At 41.5% G+C, this 21,240-nt stretch overlaps 2 protein-coding genes across 13 annotated transcripts in view, besides 2 other annotated features; one reads left to right on the top strand and one right to left on the bottom strand.

Moving 5' to 3' along the window:
* AVEN (apoptosis and caspase activation inhibitor) overlaps positions 1-21,240 on the top strand; it is a 223,545-nt gene that overhangs the window by 44,394 nt on the left and 157,911 nt on the right. Inside the window, exon 1 of one of the 11 annotated variants that reach the window (XM_011521820.1) lies at positions 7,692-7,715. The exons of the other annotated variants lie outside the window; for them this stretch is intronic. Within the exon in view, the coding sequence (XP_011520122.1) occupies positions 7,707-7,715 (9 nt within the window). The 5' untranslated portion in view covers positions 7,692-7,706. Of the gene's footprint in view, positions 1-7,691; positions 7,716-21,240 lie in introns of those variants that run through there. 11 annotated transcript variants of the gene reach the window in all.
* CHRM5 (cholinergic receptor muscarinic 5) overlaps positions 1-21,240 on the bottom strand; it is a 98,962-nt gene that overhangs the window by 36,527 nt on the left and 41,195 nt on the right. The gene's annotated exons all lie outside the window — the stretch shown is intronic.
* Positions 7,464-7,964: an enhancer, noted in NCBI's record as "H3K4me1 hESC enhancer chr15:34315169-34315669 (GRCh37/hg19 assembly coordinates)". NCBI's record gives its function as "activates a minimal SCP1, AML or CMV promoter by ChIP-STARR-seq in naive H9 embryonic stem cells {active_cell/tissue: H9 hESC(naive)}" and the evidence as "EXISTENCE:reporter gene assay evidence [ECO:0000049][PMID:30033119]".
* Positions 7,965-8,465: an enhancer, noted in NCBI's record as "H3K4me1 hESC enhancer chr15:34314668-34315168 (GRCh37/hg19 assembly coordinates)". NCBI's record gives its function as "activates a minimal SCP1, AML or CMV promoter by ChIP-STARR-seq in naive and primed H9 embryonic stem cells {active_cell/tissue: H9 hESC(naive and primed)}" and the evidence as "EXISTENCE:reporter gene assay evidence [ECO:0000049][PMID:30033119]".

Here is a 21,240-nt window from a genome sequence, read left to right as displayed (position 1 = left end):
TTAAAAAATATTTAGGCCAGGTGTAGTGGCTCATACCTGTAATCCCAGCACTTTGGGAGGGTGAGGTGGAAGGACTGCTTAAGGCCAGGAGTTCAAGACCAGCCTGGGCAACAAAGCAAGATCCCTGTCAACAACAACAACAAAAAATTTAGCCAGGCACGGTGGTGCACGCCTGTATTCCCACCTACTCAGGAGGCCGAGGCAGGAAGATTTTTAACCCAGGAGTTGGAGGTTGCAGTGAGCTATGATCACTCCAGCCTGGATGACAGCCCGAGACTCTTTCTCAACAAAACCCCCCAAACCAGGCTGGGCGTGGTGGCTCACACCTGTAATCCCAGCATTTTGGGAGGCTGAGGCGGGTGGATCACAAGGTCAGCCTAACACAATGAAACCCTGTCTCTACTAAAAATACAAAAAAATTAGCCGGGCGAGGTGGCAGGCAGCTGTAGTCCCAGCTACTTGAGAGGCTGAGGCAGGAGAATGGCATGAACCTGGGAGGCGGAGCTTGCAGTGAAGCGAGATTGCGCCACTGCACTCCAGCCTGGGCGACAGAGCAAGACTCCGTCTCAAACAAAACAAAACAAAAAACCCCCCAAAACCTAGTATTCTCAAAAAGTTTCATGCAATGTGAATTTTATTGACATAGTGGATTTGGAATTCATAGTTCTTTTTTTGAGATGAAGTCTCACTCACTCTGTCACCCAGGCTGGAATGCAGTGGTGTGATCTCAGCTCCCTGCAACCTCTGCCTTCTGGGTTCAAGAGATTCTCCTGCCTCAGCCTCCCGAGTAGCTGGGATTACAGACATGTGCCACCATGCCTGGCTAATTTTTGTATTTTTAGTAGAGATGGGGTCGCACCATGTTGGCCAGGCTGGGCTCGAACTCCTGACCTCAAGTGATCCGCCTGCCTCGGCCTCCCAAAGTGCTGGGATTACAAGTGTGAGTCACCATGCTCGGCTTGGAATTTATAGTTCTATTGTGAATCTAGAGTTCACATTCTAGTGAGCTGGATTCATGATATTGAGGACTAGAATGTTTCAACATCATTTTTTCCTTTTACTACAAGGCTGATAATAAAATAGAGTGTCTCTGTTCAATATTTGGGCTAATTGAAGATTAGTCTTATATTATTAAAGAAGTCTTAATCCCTATTACAGATACATTACACTTCAATTCCTTCCAAGGAAGTTATGATTTTTCTGGGAGCAAACCTTGATGAAAAAATGAGTATTATTCTGAAGACAAAGCTTGGCTTCCTATTTTCCCTTGGTGTCCTTCACTCCATTCCCAAGTGTTGTGTTTTGTTTTGCTGCTTCTTTTCTTTTTAAAGTCAGTAGTACTATGAATATGTAAACAACTCCTAAAGTTTTAAAACCATTTCCTTTTCAATTTTTTTTTTTTTTTTTTTTTTTTGTAGAAATAGGGTCTACCTATGTTGCCCAGGCTGGTCTTGAACTCCTGGACTCAAGTGATCCCCCTGCCTCGGCTTACCAAAGTGCTGGGATTACAGGCATGAGCCACCTTGCCCGGTTCCTAAAACTTTTTTTTCCCCCTCTTATTCTGGTAGTCAGCCAAGGGAATTATTGAATTAAGATGTGGCCAGGTGTTATTTTATGAGCACGTATTTTACATACCTTGGAAAGAAAAATTAAACATACATGTTGAATTGTTTTTCATTTTTACAATATGGAAGTAAACTTAAAGTAGAGGGTTTTTAGAGTTGGCAGTGGCGGTGGTGGGGGTGATGGAGGGTTCAGGTTTGAGCCTCAGCTGTTTTCTGTCCCTGGATGGAGAGGGGAAGGTGCTGTGGAAGCCTGAGAATGAATGTCTACTCTGGTGGGTAGCATGAACGTCTGCAGAGGGGAATCTCTGAAAACTTGAGGATTAGAGGTGAAGAGTTGTGGACAAATAGTAATTGTTATTTCAAGGTAGTAAATAAATTTATAGACAAATGAATAACTAAGATATAACCTCTCAAAACCAAGTAAGTGTTCTGCTTTTTGCCTTACTTTCTCTCCCAATTTTTTTTTTTCTGGCATCTGTGTGTTTTTCCTCTTTCTTTCAGGTGAAGGTACAATGTGGTGGCCGATGATGGTGGTGTGTTTTGCAGTCTAACAGACTGGTTAGAATCCTATCTTCTCACCCCCCATGTGCTAGTTGTAAAATCTCAGGAAAGTTACTGAAACTTCCTGAGCCTCAGTTTCCTCGCCTGTGAAAGGTGATTAAGGATATCTACCTTACACAGCTGTTGTAAGGACTGACATTAGATGAACACAATATATTTACTATATTTATAGTCACTTTGCCACTTTGCTGTCCTCTCTCATTCAGGGTCTTCTTTTTTGTTGTTGTTGTTGTTTGTTTTAAGACAAGATCTCACTTTGTTACCCATGCTGGAGTGCCCATGGCATGATGATAGCTCACCAAAGCCTTGACCTCCTTGGCTTAAGTGATCCTCCCACCTCAGCCTTCTGAATATGGGGACCAAATAGATGTGTGCCACCATGCTTGGCTAATTTTTTTATTTTTATAGAGACGGGATTTTGCCAGGTTGCACAGGCTGCTCTCGAACTCCTGGGCTCAAGTGAACCACCTGCCTTGGCTTCCCAAAGTGCTGGGACTACAGGTGTGAGCCACTGCACCTGGCCTTCTCTTGTTACAGTGTGTAGGTCAGATGCAAACTATATACTCATTCATACATACACATGAACATATGTGTATAGAATATTTAGAATCTTATTATTTATGGAATATGTATTATCTTTCTTCATTAAAAAATTTTTTAAATGGCTTGAAGCATGAAGTCTCCCAGCTTTTGCTGAGGGGGGGTCTCTCTGTGTGTGGGGTATGCTTATGCTTTCAGTGCTCTGCTAGGAAATTTACACCTCTGCCTTAGTGTTTACTTCCTGCCTGTGCAGAGCCTTAAGGGCAGCCAGAGGTGAGATATTAGGGCCTTCTCAGATCTTTTCTGCGCATGACCACAGCCTTGGACATGTGTATATCTTCCAGATTCCCAGTAATGTCAACGTTCTACAATGCCCTCTTGAACATCTTGTTCCTCAGTTTTTTCCTTTAAGGTTTTTGTCAGTTTTTTTTTTTTTTTTTGAGCCTCACCTGATCCTTGCCTCAGGTAGCTGTGATTTTAAACCCTTGTTGCTGATTGTTTTTGACAAACTCTCTGGTAATAGGACTGTTTGCACAGAGTGAAATGAGTCTGGTGGATAACGTCAAGGCCTGAGAATGGAGTTTTTCACAGAGCTGTCAGGGAGGTCAAATGGTGTCAGCCTCCTGGGAATGGGGCTTTTGGCAAACTTTTCTGCCCCTTTTAGTGGATCCAAGGATGCTGGTTTTCACAGTTACCATAGTTGTGAGGCTGTTCGTTTTCTTTCTTTTTTTTTTTTTGAGACAGAGTCTCTCTTTGTCATCCAGGCTGGAGTGCAGTGGTGCAATCTCAGCTCACTGCAACCTCTGCCTTCCGGGTTCAAGCGATTCTCCTGCCTCAGCCTCCTGTGTAGCTGGGATTACAGGTGCCCACCAACACGCCTGGCTGTTTTTTTATTTTTATTTTTTGTATTTTTAGTAGAGACAGAGTTTCGCCATGTTGGCCAGGCTGGTTTTGAACTCCTGACCTCAGGTGATCAGCCTGCCTCAGCCTCCCAAAGTGCTAGGATTACAGGTATGAGCCGAGGCTGTTCATTTTCAAAGCAACTGCAGACCAGAGTAGAGTGGAATGGGAATGGGGCACGTTACTGTTCATACTGAGATTTAGCTGTTTTAAATAAACACTCCTTGGACTTTTGTGAGTCTTTGGCTACTTTGCAGAGTTTTGAAAGAGTATATGTTGACAATTTTTGTCAGTGTTCTTGTTGCTTTTGTAGTAGAGTGGGTTTGCAGAGGTCTTTATCATTCTGGAAGTACTTCTATTCTATTTTTTGAAGCAGCCATTGCCACTCTTGGGCATCTCTAATTGTTAGAAACTTCTTCCTTTGGGACAAAACACATCATGTCACTCTTTAATTCTATTATACGTAGGCCACAGTTCTAGTCTTTGGAACAACAGAGTTTTTGGCTCAGCCAAAGCACAGAACTCTCTTAAGGTTGAACAAAAGACCGCAGGGGAAGTTTTTAATATTTAATGTGAGCGACTTACTTTTTCTGAAACTGTCAATTTGGAATTGATCACATATCCATATCAGTGTATTAAGAAGGCAAAAACTAGTGATTTAGTTACTTAGTGAAATGTGATAGTCTATCATTTTTTTTCCTCTTGTCCTCAGTGATCCTTGTTCTGATTGTCTATCTTTTCATGGGCCTGTTTTCATCATTCCTTGGAAAATTTGAGTACCTGATTTATAGTTTATATTTTTTACTACATCCTGGGTGACGTCAGCTTATATGTGATTGACACACATTACCTCCTGATTTCCTTATATGATTTCTTCAATTCCAAACTCATCTCAAGTATGACCTTTCTCAACATATCTCCCCTTGTCATCAAAATTAATCCGTGTTTCCTTTCCTCCCCTTTAATATAAAAGGTTAAAAGTTATATCCTAAGGTTAAAAGTTACACCCTGAGGTTAAAAGCTTCATCTATTTTGCTGTCACATAGTAGGAAAAATACCAAGAAGAAAATAAAAGTGCCCTTTAGTATCATCATCCAGAAATAACCACTGTTAACATTTGATGTATATTCTTTTCTCATAAAACTGGGAAGATGTCATAAGACTTTTAAGTAAAAAAAAAATGACAATATGTGGAAATTATAAGGTATATGTATGCATTTAAAACTCTGAAAAGGGTAGAAGAATATCAAACTTAATCTGTGTTTGGAGTAGAGAAAATATAGGGATTATGTAGAACTTTGTCTTTCCTTTATTCATATTTTTTACTGTTGTGTATTATCAGAAACATAGATATATTCCAATTTGAAAAGACGATTCTACAAATATATTGTGATTATAAAAATAGGGAAGACAGGTAGGCAAGACTGCACATAAAAACTGTAAGGATTATCTCTGGGTGGTGAGATTATGTGGTATTGTGTGTGGTAAGTGTAAACACGGGCTTTGTGGGGCAAGATGATCACTTGAGTTTGGACAGGTCCAGTGCCTGTCTTTTTCTCCTTCCTCCGCTTTACACATGCGCACACACACACAAACACACACACACACGCAAAACCAAACCAAAACAAAAACACACACACACAATTTTTTTTTCTTCTGAACCTTTGAGCGGTGGATATGATGCGTCTTTACCCCTAAACACTTCAATGTGTATTTCCTAAAAGCAAGGAAATCTTTTATAACCATTGCACAATTATCAAAATCAGGACATTAACATTGCTACAATTCTATTTAACCTTACAGAGGTTTCACCAGATGACCCAATAACGTCCTTTATTAGGCTTCGAGTCTTGAGCAATGATGTATGGATGAAGGGACACTTAAGAGAGTCTTCACTATGGCAGTTACCATGGCATCCTAACCACTCTAGTCTACTTCTCTGATTGTTCCTGTGGCTGGGTTCTCAGCTGCCTGCTTCCTGCTCATTTTTTATTCAGCCTATTTCTCTAAACTTCTTGTCGATTTTATAAGCTACTAGAAATTCTTTTAGTAAATTCCTTTTCTACCTAAATTAGCCAGAGTTGGTTTCTATAGTTTGCAACCAAAACTCTAGTAAATTACATTTCCCTCCCACACTTCATATTTCAGAATCTTATTCATTTTCACATGCTCACCTCAAATGCCACCCTTTTTTTTGAGATGGAGTCTCACTCCATCGCCCAGGGTGGAGTGCAGTGGTGCGATCTCTGCTTATTGCATCCTCTGCCTCCCGGGCTCAAACGATTCTCCTGCCTCAGCCTCCCAAGTAGCTGGATTACAGGCTCCTACCACCATGCCCAGCTAATTTTTGTATTTTTAGTAGAGACGGGGTTCTCTACTGGTCTCAAAATCCTGACCTCAGGTAATCCACCTGCCTTGGCCTCCCAAAGTGCTAGGATTACAGGTGTGAGCCACCATGCCCGGCCTCGCCACCTTTCTTTCTTTTTATTTTTTCCTTTTTTTTTTGAGAAGGAGTCTTGCTTTGTCGCCCAGGCTGGAGTGCAATGGCACGATCTCGGCTCACTGCAACCTCTGCCTCTTGGGTTCAAGCTATTCTCCTGCCTCAGCCTCCTGAGTAGCTGGGATTACAGGCGTGTGCCACCATGCGTGGCTAATTTTTGTATTTTTTTTTTTTTTTAGTAGAGACGGGGTTTCACCATGTTGGTCAGGCTGGTCTCGAACTCCTGACCTCATGATCCGCCCGCCTCGGCCTCCCAAAGTGCTGGGATTACAGATGTGAGCCACTGTGCCTGGCCTTCCTTTTTATTTATAGTAATTTGTAGTTTTAATTTGATAGTTTTCCTTAATGAATATTCTGTGAGCAAAGTGCTTCTTTTTTTTTTTTTTTTTTTTTGAGACAGGGTCTCATTCTGTTGCCCAGGCTGGAGGGCAGTGGTGCAGTCTTGGCCTTGGCCTCCCAAAATGCTGGGATTATAGGTGTAAGCCACCACGCCCAGCCTTCAGAGGTTTCTTCATAGAGATTGCCGCCCATCACTCTTCATCTCATACCTACTTTATTTTGATACCATTTATCACTACCTGAAGTGATGGTGTCTTATGTATTTATAATAGCATTATAAAGTATTCCTTTTTTGTTGTTTGACTCCTCTGGTGGAATGCAAACTTCATGGGTGCATGGAATTGGTCTTGTTCACTGCTATAATCCAAGCACACTGACTAATGCCTGGCATAGTATCAGCTCTCAGTAGATATTTGTTGTGTAATTGAATAAAGGATTTTGTGTTTAAGCAAGGGATTACTTGCAGTATTCTGGAAACATTCACATTTATTTTCTGGTAGCAGGTTTTATGCTTTTCCTGTTACGATTAAAACCAGTGAAGGGAGAAGAGGTTTAGCTTACATCTGAAATCAAATCCACTCTCTGGGCTCCTCTCTGGATAGAGTCCTCTATTTTGCCATCAATAAAAAGAGCCAGAATGAGTTTAAATTTCCCTGGCCAAAAACGTGGCATCTGTCAGAATTTCTAACACATGTTTTCTTTCTTTGATGCCCTTCACAGCCTGAAGGTGTATAGATTAGGTCTTTTTAGTTGCTAGCAGCACACAATAAGCAGCTGTTTACTTTTAATATTTAACTGCTCACCTGGCCTTTTAAGCCTGGCGTGATTGAAGGGATGGCAAGCAACAGAGGCTTACAGAGTAGGGGCAAGAATAGGACAGTGTTCCAGAGGTCAGAGAGTTTTTTTATTTTCTTCCATCTTTTGTTAGAGTCTGAAATAAATGGTGACACCTAAGAGGAGGTTAAGAAATTGTGCACTGAATCTCAGGTTTTGCAAGAATGAATGACCAGGCTTTCTCTACCCTGACAGCATCATCAAGAGGAAGGTGAGAGGTGGGCTGCGCCTGAGCTCTGGTGTGTATCGGCTATCATTATGTGATGTGGCCAAGAGAGATGCTGCCGCAACAACTGTTACTAAGATTACTAGGGAGGACTCGGCCAAGATGAGGTTAGCCCACCACAGCCTATTTCTTTTGCTGATAGCAACCAAACTCAGTGGGCAGATTACCTGAGGACTCAGAAAAGTAAAGAAAAGCTGGCAGATTGTGAAGTGAAAGCCTGGAGTAGCAACCTGAGTGGGGGATGAGAGGGGTAAGTTTCTCATTGTTCTTTTCCTTTTTTTTTTTCTGAGACCGAGTCTCGCTCTGTTGCCAGGCTGGAGCGCAGTGGCGCGATCTCAGTTCACTGCAGCCTCTGCCTGGGTTCAAGCAGTTCTGCCTCAGCCTCCTGAGTAGCTGGGACTACAGGCGCACACCACCACGCCAGGCTAATTTTTGTGTTTTTAGTAGAGATGGGGGTTTCACCATGTTGGCCAAGCTAGTCTTGAACTCCTGACCTTGTGATCCGCCCGCCTCGGCCTCCCAAAGTGCTGGGATTACAGGCGTGAGCCACCGCGCCCGGCCTCATTGTTCTTTTCTATCTGGCTTTGAGCCAAAGGCAAGCTTTCAGCAGAGCTGCAGTGGTGGTACAGAGGTAGCAAAAATCCAAGAGAAATCTCATCCTTCCAGCCAGAAGGTCAGGAAAATGTAAGCTGGAGAGTGTGTGTGTGTTGGGGGAATGCTTTCCTTTTTTAATCACAGTGGGCAGAATCCTTGGAGTCTTTAAAATTCTGTGAAGCAGAGAGATAATCTCATACTTATGCAAAAGGTGTAAGGCAACCATAATGTTAGTATTCTAACTCCAAGGGAATTTTACCAGCATGCAGATGTTCAGGCTTGCATGTCAGGCTGTGGCCCAGCCTCAAAGTTTGTGTACCCTTCCTGCTGCGTAGTCCTGATCCTGGGATTTGCATTTTGTTCTGATGGATGGGGAGCTTTGAGAAAATCCACCTTTCTCTAATACAAGGTAAAAGCTTTCTCCCTTCTGTAGGCGCCTTTGCTGCCCTTTCTTTTAATTAAATATTTTTTCCTCCCTAATGTTGGGAGAGCTTCCTAAAGGTCACAATTGAAAAGAGCTGCAGAAGGGAGATGCAGATTATAGTAGTATTCTGTCTTGTCATGGGGAAAATTGTCTTGTTAATTGTTCTGCCTCTGAAAAATGTTTTCTTATTTCTCCATTCTGGTTAAAATTGTCAGGATTGGAAAGAAGGAATTTTTGCTAACATGGGGCCATGATGCCATTCATTTGATGTCTGAGGAGCAATAGAAAGCAGTTCAGCTAGAAAAGAAGGGCATGCCAGCCAAACAGCTTTCAAATGTCATGCATTGTGTGGCAGGAGTAGGTTTTAAATATAATGCATGTACTTGTCCTTATTGCAAACAATGCCGTCTTATTCCATCTACAAAATATTTGCACTTGAATTCTCTAAGTACAAATTTTGCAGTAGTTGTCATTTGCTTTCTATGGACTTTAAGAATGCTGCTTGCACAAGTGCTGTGGGTGCTCACTTCTTTTTCATGTTAATGTTGCCATGTGGAAGTGCTCTTATTTTATTTTATTTTATTTTTATTTTTGAGATGGAGTCTTGCGCTGTCCACCCAGGCTGGAGTGCAGTGGCGCAACCTCGGCTCACTGCAACCTCCACCTCCTGGGTTCAAGTGATTCTCCTGCCTCAGCCTCCCCAGTAGCTGGGATTACAGGCACCTGCCACCATGTCCAGTTAATTTTTGTATTTTTAGTAGAGACGGGGTTTCACCATTTTAGCCAGGCTGGTCTCAAACTCCTGACCTCAAATGATCTGCCCACCTTGGCCTCCCAAAGTGCTGGGATTACAGGCATGAGCCACCTTACACGGCCATGTGTAAGTGCTCTTAAAGATACAGAAAATAAGCCAGGCGCGGTGGCTCACCTGAGGTCAGGAGTTCCAGACCAGCCTGACCAACACGGAGAAACCCCGTATATACTAAAAATACAAACTTAGCTGGGCATGGTGGTGTGTGCCTGAAATCCCAGCTACTCAGGAGGCTGAGGCAGGAGAATCACTTGAACCCGGGAGGCAGAGGTTGTGGTGAGCCAAGATGGCGCCATTGTACTCCAGTCTGGGCAACAAGAGTGAAACTCCGTCTCAAAAAAAAAAAAGATACAGAAAATATTTTTTAGCTGAGTGGGGTGGTGTGTGCCTGTAGCCTAAGCTACTTGGGAGGCGACAGAGCAAAACTCCATCTCCAAAAAAAGAAAAAGAAAAAGATGCAATTTTTTCATAGAAAAATTCACCCAGGCCACAAATGAGAAAAGATAGGCATTTTATAGACTCTTCATCGGGGAAGAACTGAAAAGGAGAATAAATTCAAAAGAGGAGCTTCAGATGCTGGAAAGCTAGAGAAGCATACATGAAATCATTTTCTGTCAGGTAAAGTGTATATGCAGAAAAAGACTTTTCAGATGCATGGCCCAGTGATTCATTCCTCACCATTTGGTCAGTGTGTGCATATAGACTGTCTCCATATAAGGTAGGTGCTTAAAAGGAAGAGAATTTTGGTAGGTCCATTTGTTTTTTAATACAAAATGGCAAATCAAACAGCTTTTACTGGTTAGGGCTGGAGTTTGGCCCTTTTCTTATAAAAACAAGTAAAAAGTTATGTGGAGATTATATCTTGTGTCTTACGAAATTTGGCCTAATTTCATTTACAGCTTTTCATGACAAGGAGAGTAAGGTCGTAATTCAGTCAAGGGGCTTGAATGATGTGATATGAGGAGCTTTTATGAAGGCATACATAGCTTTATGAAGTTACAGCTGCCCATCTGTAAGTCAGAGCAAGTACTAATGAAAGTGCAGTGAGAATTGAAATCCATTTCAGAATTGTGAGGTGGTGTGAGAAGAGGGGATGTTCTGCCAGATGATGGCATTAACCCTTTAGTTAACAAGGATAGGTGCTTAGAGGCTTAAACCAGATGATCTACATGCTTTAAGAGAAATAGTATTGTTTCAACCAAATTTCTAATTTGCCTCCTTGGATTTATATTGTGCAACCAACTTGTAAAGGCATCAGTAAGAAAGTTCTAAAAGCAGAAAAGAACACTATCCTTTTAAAACCTCTATTTTTTTTTCTTTTTTTTTTGAGATGGAGTCTCGCTCGGTCACCCAGGCTAGAGTGCAGTGGTGTGATCTCAGCTAACTGCAAGCTCCGCCTCCCTGGTTCACGCCATTCTCCTGCCTCAGCCTCCCGAGTAGCTGGGACTACAGGCACCCACCACCACGCCTGGCTAATTTTTTGTATTTTTAGTAGAGACGGGGTTTCACCATGTTAGCCAAGATGGTCTCGATCTCCTGACCTTGTGATCCACCCACCTTGGCCTCCCAAAGTGCTGGGATTACAGGTGTGAACCACTGCGCCCAGCCTAAAACCTCTATTTTGAGGCATGGAAAAGGTGTTTAAAAAATCAAGACTCTTTTGAACTTGTTGTATGCATTAAAATGTAATTGCATACAAAAGAACTGCTTAAGACTTTGCAATTCTATTTTTCTAAGTTTTGCTACAATAAATAGTCATGTATTGCTTAATGGGGATATAGTCTGAGAAACATGTCGTTAGGTGACTTGTCATTGTGCAATACCATAGAGGGTACTTACATAAACCTAGATGGTGTAGCCTACTGTACACCCAGGCGGTATGGTATAACATATTGCTCCTGGGCTACAAACCTGTACAGCATGTTACGGTACTGGATACTGTAGACAGTTATATCACAATGGTAAGTATTTGTGTGTCTAAACATAAAAAAGGTACAGTAAAATTACTGTGTATAGGATGAGAAATGGTAAACCTGTATGGGGTGCTTTCCATGAATGGAGCTTGCAGGACTGAAAGTTGCTCTGAGTGAGTCAGTGAGTGAGTGGTGAGTGAATAGGAAGGCCTAGGACATTACTGTACACTACTATAGACTTTATAAACACTGTACACTTAGGCTACACTAAACTTATGCTTTTTTTAAATAATTAGCCCTAGTTTACTGTAATTTTCTTACTTTATAAACTTTTAAATATTTTTACCTTTTTGACTCTTGTAATAACACTTAGCTTAAAACAAACACATTGTACAGCTGTACCAAAATATATCTTTATAAGCTTTTGTTTTCTATTTTAAAAATACTTTTCTACTTTTAAAAGATTTTTCTTAAAAATGAAGACACAAACAATTACATCCATTAGCCTAGGCCTACACAGGGTCAGGATCATCAATAGTAAGCGGTGAAGCCAGCTGGACTTACTGGGTTGAGTGGGGACTTGGAGAACTTTTCTGTCTAGCTAGAGGATTGTAAATGCACCAATCAGCACTCTGTGTCTAGCTAAAGGATTGAAAATGCACCAATCAGCACTCTGTAAAAAAAACGCACCAATCAGCGCTCTGTGTCTAGTTAGATTGTAGATGCACCAATGAGCACTCTGTAAAAACACACCAATCAGCACTCTGTGTCTAGCTGAAGGATTGTAAAAAACACCAATCAGCACTCTGTAAAAATGCACCAATCAGCACTCTGTGTTTAGCTAAAGGATTATAAATGCACTGATCAGCACTCTGTAAAAATGCACCAATCAGTGGTCTGTGTCTAGCTAAATGATTGTAAATGCACCAATCAGCACTCTGTAAATGGACCAATTAGCACTCTGTAAAATGGACCAATCAGTAGGACGTGGGCAGGGCCAAATAAGGGAATAAAAGCTGGTCACCCCAGCCAGCAGCAGCAACCCACTGGAGTCCCTTTCCATTCTGTGGAAGCTTTGTTCTTTCACTCTTCACAATAAGTCTTGCTGCTGCACACTCTTTGGGTCTGCACTACCTTTATGAGCTGTAACACTCACCACGAGGGTCTGCGGCTTCATTCCTGAAGTCAGCGAGACCACGAACCCACCGGGAGAAACAAACAACTCTGGACGCACTACCTTTAAAAACTGTAACACTCACTGCGAAGGTATGTGGCTTCACTTCTGAAGTCAGGGAGACCACGAACCCACCGGAAGGAAGAAACTCGACACATCTGAACATCTGAAGGAACAAACTCTGGACACACCATCTTTAAGAACTGTAACACACCGCGACGGTCTGCGGCTTCATTCTTGAAGTTAGTGAGACCGAGAACCCACAAGAAGGAATAAATTCCGGACACAATATCACTGTCTTCCACCTCCACATCTTGTACCACTGGAAGGACTTTAGGGTCAGCAAAATGCATGGAGCTGTCATCTCCTATGTAACAATGCCTTCTTTTGGAATAGCTCCTGAAGGACCTGCTTGAGGCTTACAGTTAGCTTTTTTAAGAAGTAAGTAGAATGACTGTACTCTAAAATAATGGTAAAAAGTATAATATAGTAAATACATAAACCATTTAGTATCATTGTCAGTATTATGTAGTGTACATAATTGTATGTGCTGGACTTTTATATGACTGGTAATGTAGTAGGTTTGTTTACATCAGTATCGCCACAGACCTGTGAATAATGCTGTGCACTATGACATTATTTTCAGCTCCATTATAACCTTATGGGACCACTGTTGTAAATATGGTCCATTGTTGACCAAAATGGTATGTGGTGCATTACTTAGTTGCTAGACAATGGAGTTTTTAATAATTTTAGAACCTTAGGCTTACTGGCCAGGCTCAGTGGCTCAATCCTGTAATCCCAGCACTTTGGGAGGCTGAGGTGGGTGGATCACTTGAGGTCAGGAGTTCGAGACCTGCCTGGCCAACATGGTGAAACCCTGTCTCTACTAAAAATACAAAAATTAGCTGGGTGTGGTGGCATGCACCTGTAGTCACAGCTACTTGAGAGACTCAGGCAGGAGAATTGCTTGAACTGGGAGATGGAGGTTGCAATAAGCTGATCGCAGTACTGCACTCCGGCCTGGATGACATAGCAAGACCCTGTCTCAAAAAAAAAAAAAAAACAAAAAAAAAATCATACTGAAATCACTTATCTTGGTTAATTGGCATCTTACGAGAATGGGTAGTTATGTGGGGATAGGGACATTACCTGAAAAATCTTAGGTGATTGATATTTTCTCTTTTGAAATGTCATTCTTTGGGGAATCTGCTTAACTTTATGGAACAGGGATGAGATCTCCATGCTGTTTAAAATGGGGTGGTGGTGTTTGCTTTGCTTTGTTTCATTTTGTATGAGAGCTCAGTTCTAGGCTTTTGGATGAATTGTTAATAGGTGAACAGAGTGGGTGGATTTGAGACGGGTGGTTGGATTCATTGTAGGTGAGAAGCTTTGTCAAATGATACCTTTTTTTTTCCCCCTTGAGACAGAGTCTCATTCTGTCATCCAGGAATGCAGTGGCATAATCACAGCTCATTACAGCCTTGACCTCCCCAGGCTGAGGTGATCCTCCCACCTCAGCCTCCTGAGTAGCTTGGACTACAGGGATGTGCCACCATGCCTGGCTAATTTTTGGTACTTTTTTGTAGAGATGGGGTTTTGCCATGTTGTCCGGGCTGATCTTGAATTCCTGGGCTCTAGTAATCCACCCACCTTGGCCTCCCAAAGTGCTGCAATTACAGGCGTGTGCCACCACACGTGGGTGTTGGCAAGTGATATTTTGGTGAACCTGAGTTATTTAGAAGGTAATGGTCTAGAACTCTGAATGTGAAGAAGAAACAAACCTTTTGTTTTTGACCAAACGGTTACGCTGGTTTAAAATGGACCACTCACCAGAGAAGGGAATTCTCTGAGTATTTAATTTGTTTCTGATTACATACTCCATAGCATACAAGCAGGCAGAGACACTTGGCTTTAGTTAGTGGAGAAAAGTTTGTTGACTGGATCAAAAACTCCTGTTGGTAATATTTTTTAAAGATTCAGGTTACATTTTGTAGCCCAGGAGATAAATATTGCTGAGATACTTTTGACTGAAGTGTGGTATGAAGGGAAAGGGGGAAATTTGTAAGAAAAAAGAGTCATGTGGCCACATGCAGAGAATCAAGTACCAGGAAGCAGATAATTGACCAGGTGAGATGGAGAGGTCAGTACCCATGCGAGCCCAACTCAGTGTCTATTAGTATTGTAAGTTTACTACATAATAAGATTTTTAAAAGTCTGTTGTTTTGTTGATCTGATAGTACTGTGCACTTCATTCTAATGCAGAACCTAGGAGAGATAAGTTGCTTTCCGGTTTTGTTTTTGTTTTTGTTTTTTGAGATGGAGTTTTGCTCTTGTTGCCCAGGCTGGAGTGCAATGGCACGATCTTGGCTCACTGTAACCGAGTAGCTGGAATTACAGGCGTGCACCACCATGCCCAGCTAATTTTGTATTTTTAGTAGAGACGGGGTTTCTCCATGTTGGTCAGGCTGGTCTCGAACTCCTGACCTCAGGCGATCCGCCCACCTTGGCCTCCCAAAGTGCTGGGATTACAGGCATGAGCCACCGCGCCCAGCCGCTTTCCAGTTTTATGTCACATAATGGTTACTGTTCAGATCTGAGGGTGTATTATTTGAAGGAAAGTTAAGAGTGCATCTAAGGAGCCAGGAATGTACTGTCTCCAATTGTTGATTCTGCTAACGAATGGTAATTACTCTTTCATGCCTCTCATTTTTATCATTTTATCTTTGAAATAAAATAACACCTATGAGAAAGATATAAGGACTTGGAGAAGGAAAGGGATGGAGTGAAGATCCGTGTGAGACGTGTCATTGAACATTAGCTTTGTGGGTTGGTTTACCTTTTTGTCTGTTAGAGTCTCTCTACCCACTTTTTTTTCCCTCATGTGTTGCTGTTTCTGAGCAAGACTGAGAGCTGACAACTGTTACTTTTTTATTCTTAGCTCCTAAAGACCGAGGGTGGAATTTTTAGTTAGTTTAATTTCCCAAATTATCCTAAAACAGTGAGATTGTATTATAATAAAACATTTTTGGATATTTTGTGGAATTTTTTTATTTTTTTTTATTTTTTGAGATGGAGTCTCGCTCTGTCACCCAGGCTGGAGTGCAGTGGTGCGATCTCGGCTCACTGCAAGCTCCGCCTCCCGGGTTCACGCTATTCTCCTGCCTCAGCCTCCCGAGTAGCTGGACTACAGGTGCCCGCCACCGCACCTGGCTAATTTTTTGTATTTTTAGTAGAGGTGGGGTTTCACTGTGTTAGCCAAGATGGTCTCGATCTCCTGACCTCGTGACCCGCCTGCCTTGGCCTCCGAAAGTGCTGGGATTACAGGCGTGAGCCACTGCGCCCGGCCTATTTTGTGGAATTTTTTAAAAAGTGCTCCTTTGTTATCTTTTTCCTTATGATAACAGCTTTGAATGGGATTTGACTGTGATCCTTTGTTGTTGCTCATCTTCATGGAAAGCCAGTTTTCCCAGCTTTTAGAAGGGAGACACACTGTTAAGGACAGCTTTTCAGGCTTCAGGACTCTAGAGTACCAGAAGTCTTCTGTTGTCTTGAAGTGATTAAAAAGATGGTCCCTGCTTCTCAAATCCGGCACCCCTCACCCCCTGTATCTGACCCTTCCTTTCTGTTTATCTTTTATTATTCCTCTTCTGCTCAATTTGAATTCTGCCCCCAGGAGTTTTTCTTCAGAGTGGAGTTTTGTCTGGCAAAAGAGCTTTTGGCCAGTTAGTTTTGAGAGGTCAAGGGGCCACATTCTCAGCTCCTTCAGCCTTAGCTGCAAATTCCTTGAACTCACCAGCTGTTGGAGTAGACCCAACATATTTAGCCGCTGTTCCCAGATGGGCCCGCTGAACTTTCCAGTTGAGTGCCTGTTGTTTGTTTTGGGATGCCCAGGTCTGTCAGATGCTGCATTGATCCCATCTCTGCTTCCTCTCACAGACACTGGTACCTACCTTACAGGTCTTGTGACTATTGGTGATTTGTACCTGTTCATCTTTGGGACTTTGTGGAGATACTTTGTCACCTAGGCTTTTGTGGCTGTTTCCCATGGATTTTTGATTTTGTTACCCTAGTTGCTCTTTGTATTTTTTATCAGGGGACCTGGGAAAACCATACTGCTGCTGCTGCCATCTTCCCAGAATCCTCAAACGTGGTTTTTGTTTTTGTTTTTTTTTTTTTTTTTAATGAGATGGAGTTTCGCTCTTGTTGCTTAAGCTGGAGTGCAATGGCACAATCTTGGCTCACTGTAATCTCTGCCTCCTGGGTTCAAGCAATCCTCCTGCCTCAGCCTCCCAAGTAGCTGGGGTTACAGGTGCGTGCCACCACGCCTGGCTAATTTTTCATATTTTTAGTAGAGATGGGGTTTTGCCATGTTGGCCAGGCTGGTCTCAAATTCCTGACCTCAGGTGATCCGCCCATGTTGGCCTCCCAGAGTGCTGGGATTGCAGGCGTGAGCCACTGTGCCCAGCTAAATGTGTTTTTCTTTTTTAAAATTTCCCATTGTTGATCTCCCCGGGTTTTGTTTTGAACAGCTGTTATCTCTTGGTTAGAAGCACGTTCTTTGCTAATACCAAGGCAGGGGATAATGTGAGTTCCCTCTGTTCTTGAGGTTGGGAAGAGTCAGCAGGCGGAAGATAGCAGCCGTTCCTTCAGTAGGCTCATCTCAGGCCGTGAGTCTACATCTAGAGCAGAACTGTTTCTCGCTCATGGGTCCTCGTACATACTCTTCCCTCAGCCTGTGATGTCATCCTCCTGCTTCCCACTGGCTCACAAGCCTGGTCCTGAAGATGTCCCCCATTCCCCCTTCTCCCCCATTGGTGATGTTTTTTCTGTGCTTCCGTAACATCTTGTGAATGTTTTATAGTAGCTGATATCACACTATATATGTTTACTTCTCCGTGTTTCCCACAGCACTGTGAGTTCTTGAGGCCTGGGCCCTTGGCTTATTGGTCTTTGTATTCCCAATGCCTGATCCAGTGCTGGAAGTCAGTAACTACTCAGGAAACACTGTTAAATGAATATTGGCAATTTAGTGGTGCAAGGAGCAAAAGTAGCTCTCTGTGGACATATTGCAGGACAGACAAATGTAACAATAAGTGCCACTTAGAGTTGTACTTAAAGAAATAAGTTTATCCTGGGAAGGAACTATCAAGGTGACTGTTTTTATTTTCATTTTATTTAAAACATTTGGCCAGGCCCAGTGGCTCACACTTGTAATCCTAGCACTTTGGGAGGCCAAGGCAGATGGATTACTTGAGATCAGGAGTTTGAGACCAGCCTGGCCAACATGGTGAAACCCCACCTCTGCTAAAAATACAAATATTAGCTGGGCGTGGTGGCGCGCGCCTGTAATCCCAGCTACTCAGGAGGCTGAGACATGAGAATCGCTTGAACCCAGGAGGCAGAGGTTGCAGTGAGCCAAGATTGCGCCATTGCACTCCAGCCGGGGCGACAGAGTGAGACTCTGTCTCAAAAAACAAACAAACAAACAAAAAAACCACTGTGATAGGAGGAGACACTGGTCAGGTCCTTAGTATGCTACATTCATTTTGATTATAACCATTAAAAAAGCTGGTGGGGAATTTAGGAAATTTAAAACAGACCATGACAATGATTAAGAAATTGGAAATTTGTGCTTATAAAGGAAAAAATAATGGTTAACTTAGGTGAAGAGTAAACATAACCCCAGAACCTAGCCGTAGGACAGACTGGTGCAATGTGATTTCTGCATGTTCTTGCTTGAGGGCAGAGGCTTGACCTATCTAGGTTCCTTCTAGTTCAGTAATGCTTTACTTGTTAAAGTTCTCTTCCTCTGGCGACTTGAGAGTTTGGAAAATATCTTCAAGTGGGCCAGAAGACAGCTATTTAATGGTCTGATTTTTCTGGAAAGTGGAATGTGATGACATTAAAACCTGAGTGACTAAGGAAACCAGACTTACGCTGGTAGATAAGAGAGTTGAAAATTTAACTGAGACAGAGACAAAAGAAAATCTGGCCATTTGCAGCATTAAGCATATGCAGTGAAATCCCAGCAAAAATGGAACAGAGAGGCAGATGTACCTGAAGCATCCCTTTCCGCCTTCAGAAAAACAGTAAATGGTCAGTGGCAATGGTTCAGGTAAATATATTTTGCACACCAAGATCACCCAGAAATGCTCAGGGTATTTATATAAAGATATTTTTTATACAGATGACCTTTAATCATATGATTTAACAAAGGAAATGTTTTACTTATAGGCCTTCTAGTTGTGTCACTACTTATTGTGTGTGTCTGTGGATTAAATAGATTGGCAAAGCAAAACGGTATCTTTTCTCTCAGATCATAACCACGTCAAGAAGCAAATTGTCTTTATATAGGACCATTTAATGCCTTCTTTACTAGAAAAGTTGTTGATGGTAATCTAGCTCATAGACTTTACCTGGGAGTTGGGACTTGCAAAATGGCTTAATTTGGTAATTTCCAAACCTTGTTAAAAAGCTTCAGAAGTCCCAAATTCTTATAAGAAGCTCATTTTTTAAAGCAGATAAAATGAAACTGATTCTATTGCCATTTCCCCCTTCCTTTCTACAAGGACTCCCTAAAAGGACCTCCACAAACTGTAGTTTAAAATCACTAATTAGTCCAATAAAAGTTACTCCAGTCTAATTTCCCAAATTATCCTTAAGTCATTGAAGCATAGAACTCGCAAGGTCTTGACTTTGAGAAATCCCATAGTCTGTCCCTGGTGTGGGCTGCCTACAGATGCAAATTACCTTCCTGTGCCTTCCAGTTTTAGCCGACTTGGAAGCAAAATGACACACATGAGAAAGATATAAGGACTTAGGGAAAGAGAGAGATGGAATGAGAGGCCTGTGAGATGAGTGGTTGAACAGCTGCACTGAGGGTTGAGTTCCCATTTTCTTGGTTGTGGGATGCCTCTCTCCTCCCTTCCCCTCTGCTTTTTCCATATACTGACCACAAGGAAGGACAGCTGTATATACTTCTTTTGCTAGAGAAACAGTTGAATTTGACTATCATGTGGATCATTTTATTCCCATTCTTAATGGCCACAGTATTTTGGAGCCCAATTATTTATTATTATGTACATTGTTCTGGGATCAAGAGATAATTCACATATATGCCATATACTGCATTTATTAATTTTTTCAAATATGATCATGCATATCTTATTTAATATACAACATATATTTTATTTAATACACAAAGACAAATGGAAACGCCCTTTTTTGTATATCCGTATCCTTTTTTATTCAATGTTTTATTGAAATTTCACTTCTTGAAAGAATTGTTTTTGCTAGCGTAGTTCCCCCTGCCTTTTTTTCCTTTTTCGTATAGGCCTAGTAAACAAAGTTTTTTTTGAGACAGAGTCTTGCTCTGTCACCCAGGCTGGAGTGCAGTGGCATGATCATAGCTTACTGCAGCCTTGAGCTCTTGGGCTCAAGTAATCCTCTTGCCTAGGCCTCCCAAAGTGCAGGTATTATAGGAATGAGCCACCATGCCCGGCCCTAGCACACTTTTCAAATATCGAAAACTGTCATTGAATTCTTTAATTATGATGGTTTATGAGTTTTTCTATTGTTAAAAAGATAATGTTTTTTAATAGTGAAAAAAGTAGTGTAAGTTGTTGCTTATGGTCCAAATGATTATATAAGATAAAAATGACCTTAATAGGTTTACAAATATAAAAGTTGGCAATTAACTATTAATCAGTTATATATTTTAAAGCTCAGTAACATTAAACATTTTGAAATGGGCTGAATTAGTATTATTTTTCAGTTATACACATTGTAAAATTTTAATTGAGAATATTTGACATTAGTAATCACTGTGATTAGTTTTTGGTGACTTTTTTGTTGGAGGGTTTCCTTAAATGTGTTCTTTCTCATTTCTTTCTATTCTACCTATTCACCTCTATGATATAATTTACCTTTTGTGAGGAACATAGGAGGTGGGTGAAAAATGGTGTGAATGTTTTTGAACTCCTTACTAGCTTCAAAACAGGAAAGCCTTTTCTATACCTTTTTGCTCCAGAAGAAAGTAGAACCAGGGACCTGCAAAAACTAGGTTCTTAAACATAAAAGGCTTTAAATAGGATCTGTTGTCTGGTTGTTATATGTTATTAGTATTAATAACTTCTGAAATTTTACTGGCTCATCTGAAGGCTCTTGGTGATAGAGATAATCTGTAAGTATTCTCTTGGCAACTTCTTTTATTTATTTATTTATTTTGGAAAGAAAAGGTAGGATATTTAATGAATAAGGTTGTCCAAATATACTGTTCATAGGTGGGCCAGTTAAATTAAGCAGATTATAAATTAATGTAAATTATTGTTTATTTATTGTAAGTTAAATAGGATGGTAGCTTCAGTAAGTAAATCTTTTTATTGTTTCTGTTAAGCATATGGTTCCTTTTGTCTAGTCAGTCTAATCCATATTAAAGGTAGGGGCTTGAAGTTTCTAACTATTATTGTTAAACTTTCTATTCTCCCTTCTATTCTGTCAGTTTTTGCTTCATATATTGTGAAGCTGTGTTCCTAGGAGCATATGTTTATATGTTCATAATTATTATGTTTCTTTTTTTTCTTTTAAGAGACAGGGTTTCACTCCATTGCCCAGGCTGGAGTACAGTGTCATGATCATAGCTCACTGTAACTTCAAACTCTTGGGCTCAAGTGCTAGGACTACAGGTTCATGCCACCATGCTCAGCTAATTTTTTATTTTTATTTTTGTAGCAATGCTCTCTATGTTGCTCAGGCTGATCTCAAACTCCTGGCCTCAAGCGACCCTCCCTACCTTGGCCTCCCAAAGCATTGGGATTACAGGCATGAACCACTGTGCCTGGCCCTATTGTTATATCT

The sequence above is a fragment of the Homo sapiens genome, chromosome 15 (assembly GCF_000001405.40).
Source record: "Homo sapiens chromosome 15, GRCh38.p14 Primary Assembly".
NCBI classification, from domain to species: Eukaryota; Metazoa; Chordata; class Mammalia; order Primates; family Hominidae; genus Homo; species Homo sapiens.
Note: the sequence above shows the minus strand (reverse complement) of the source record. Positions and strands in the feature narration are given on the sequence as shown.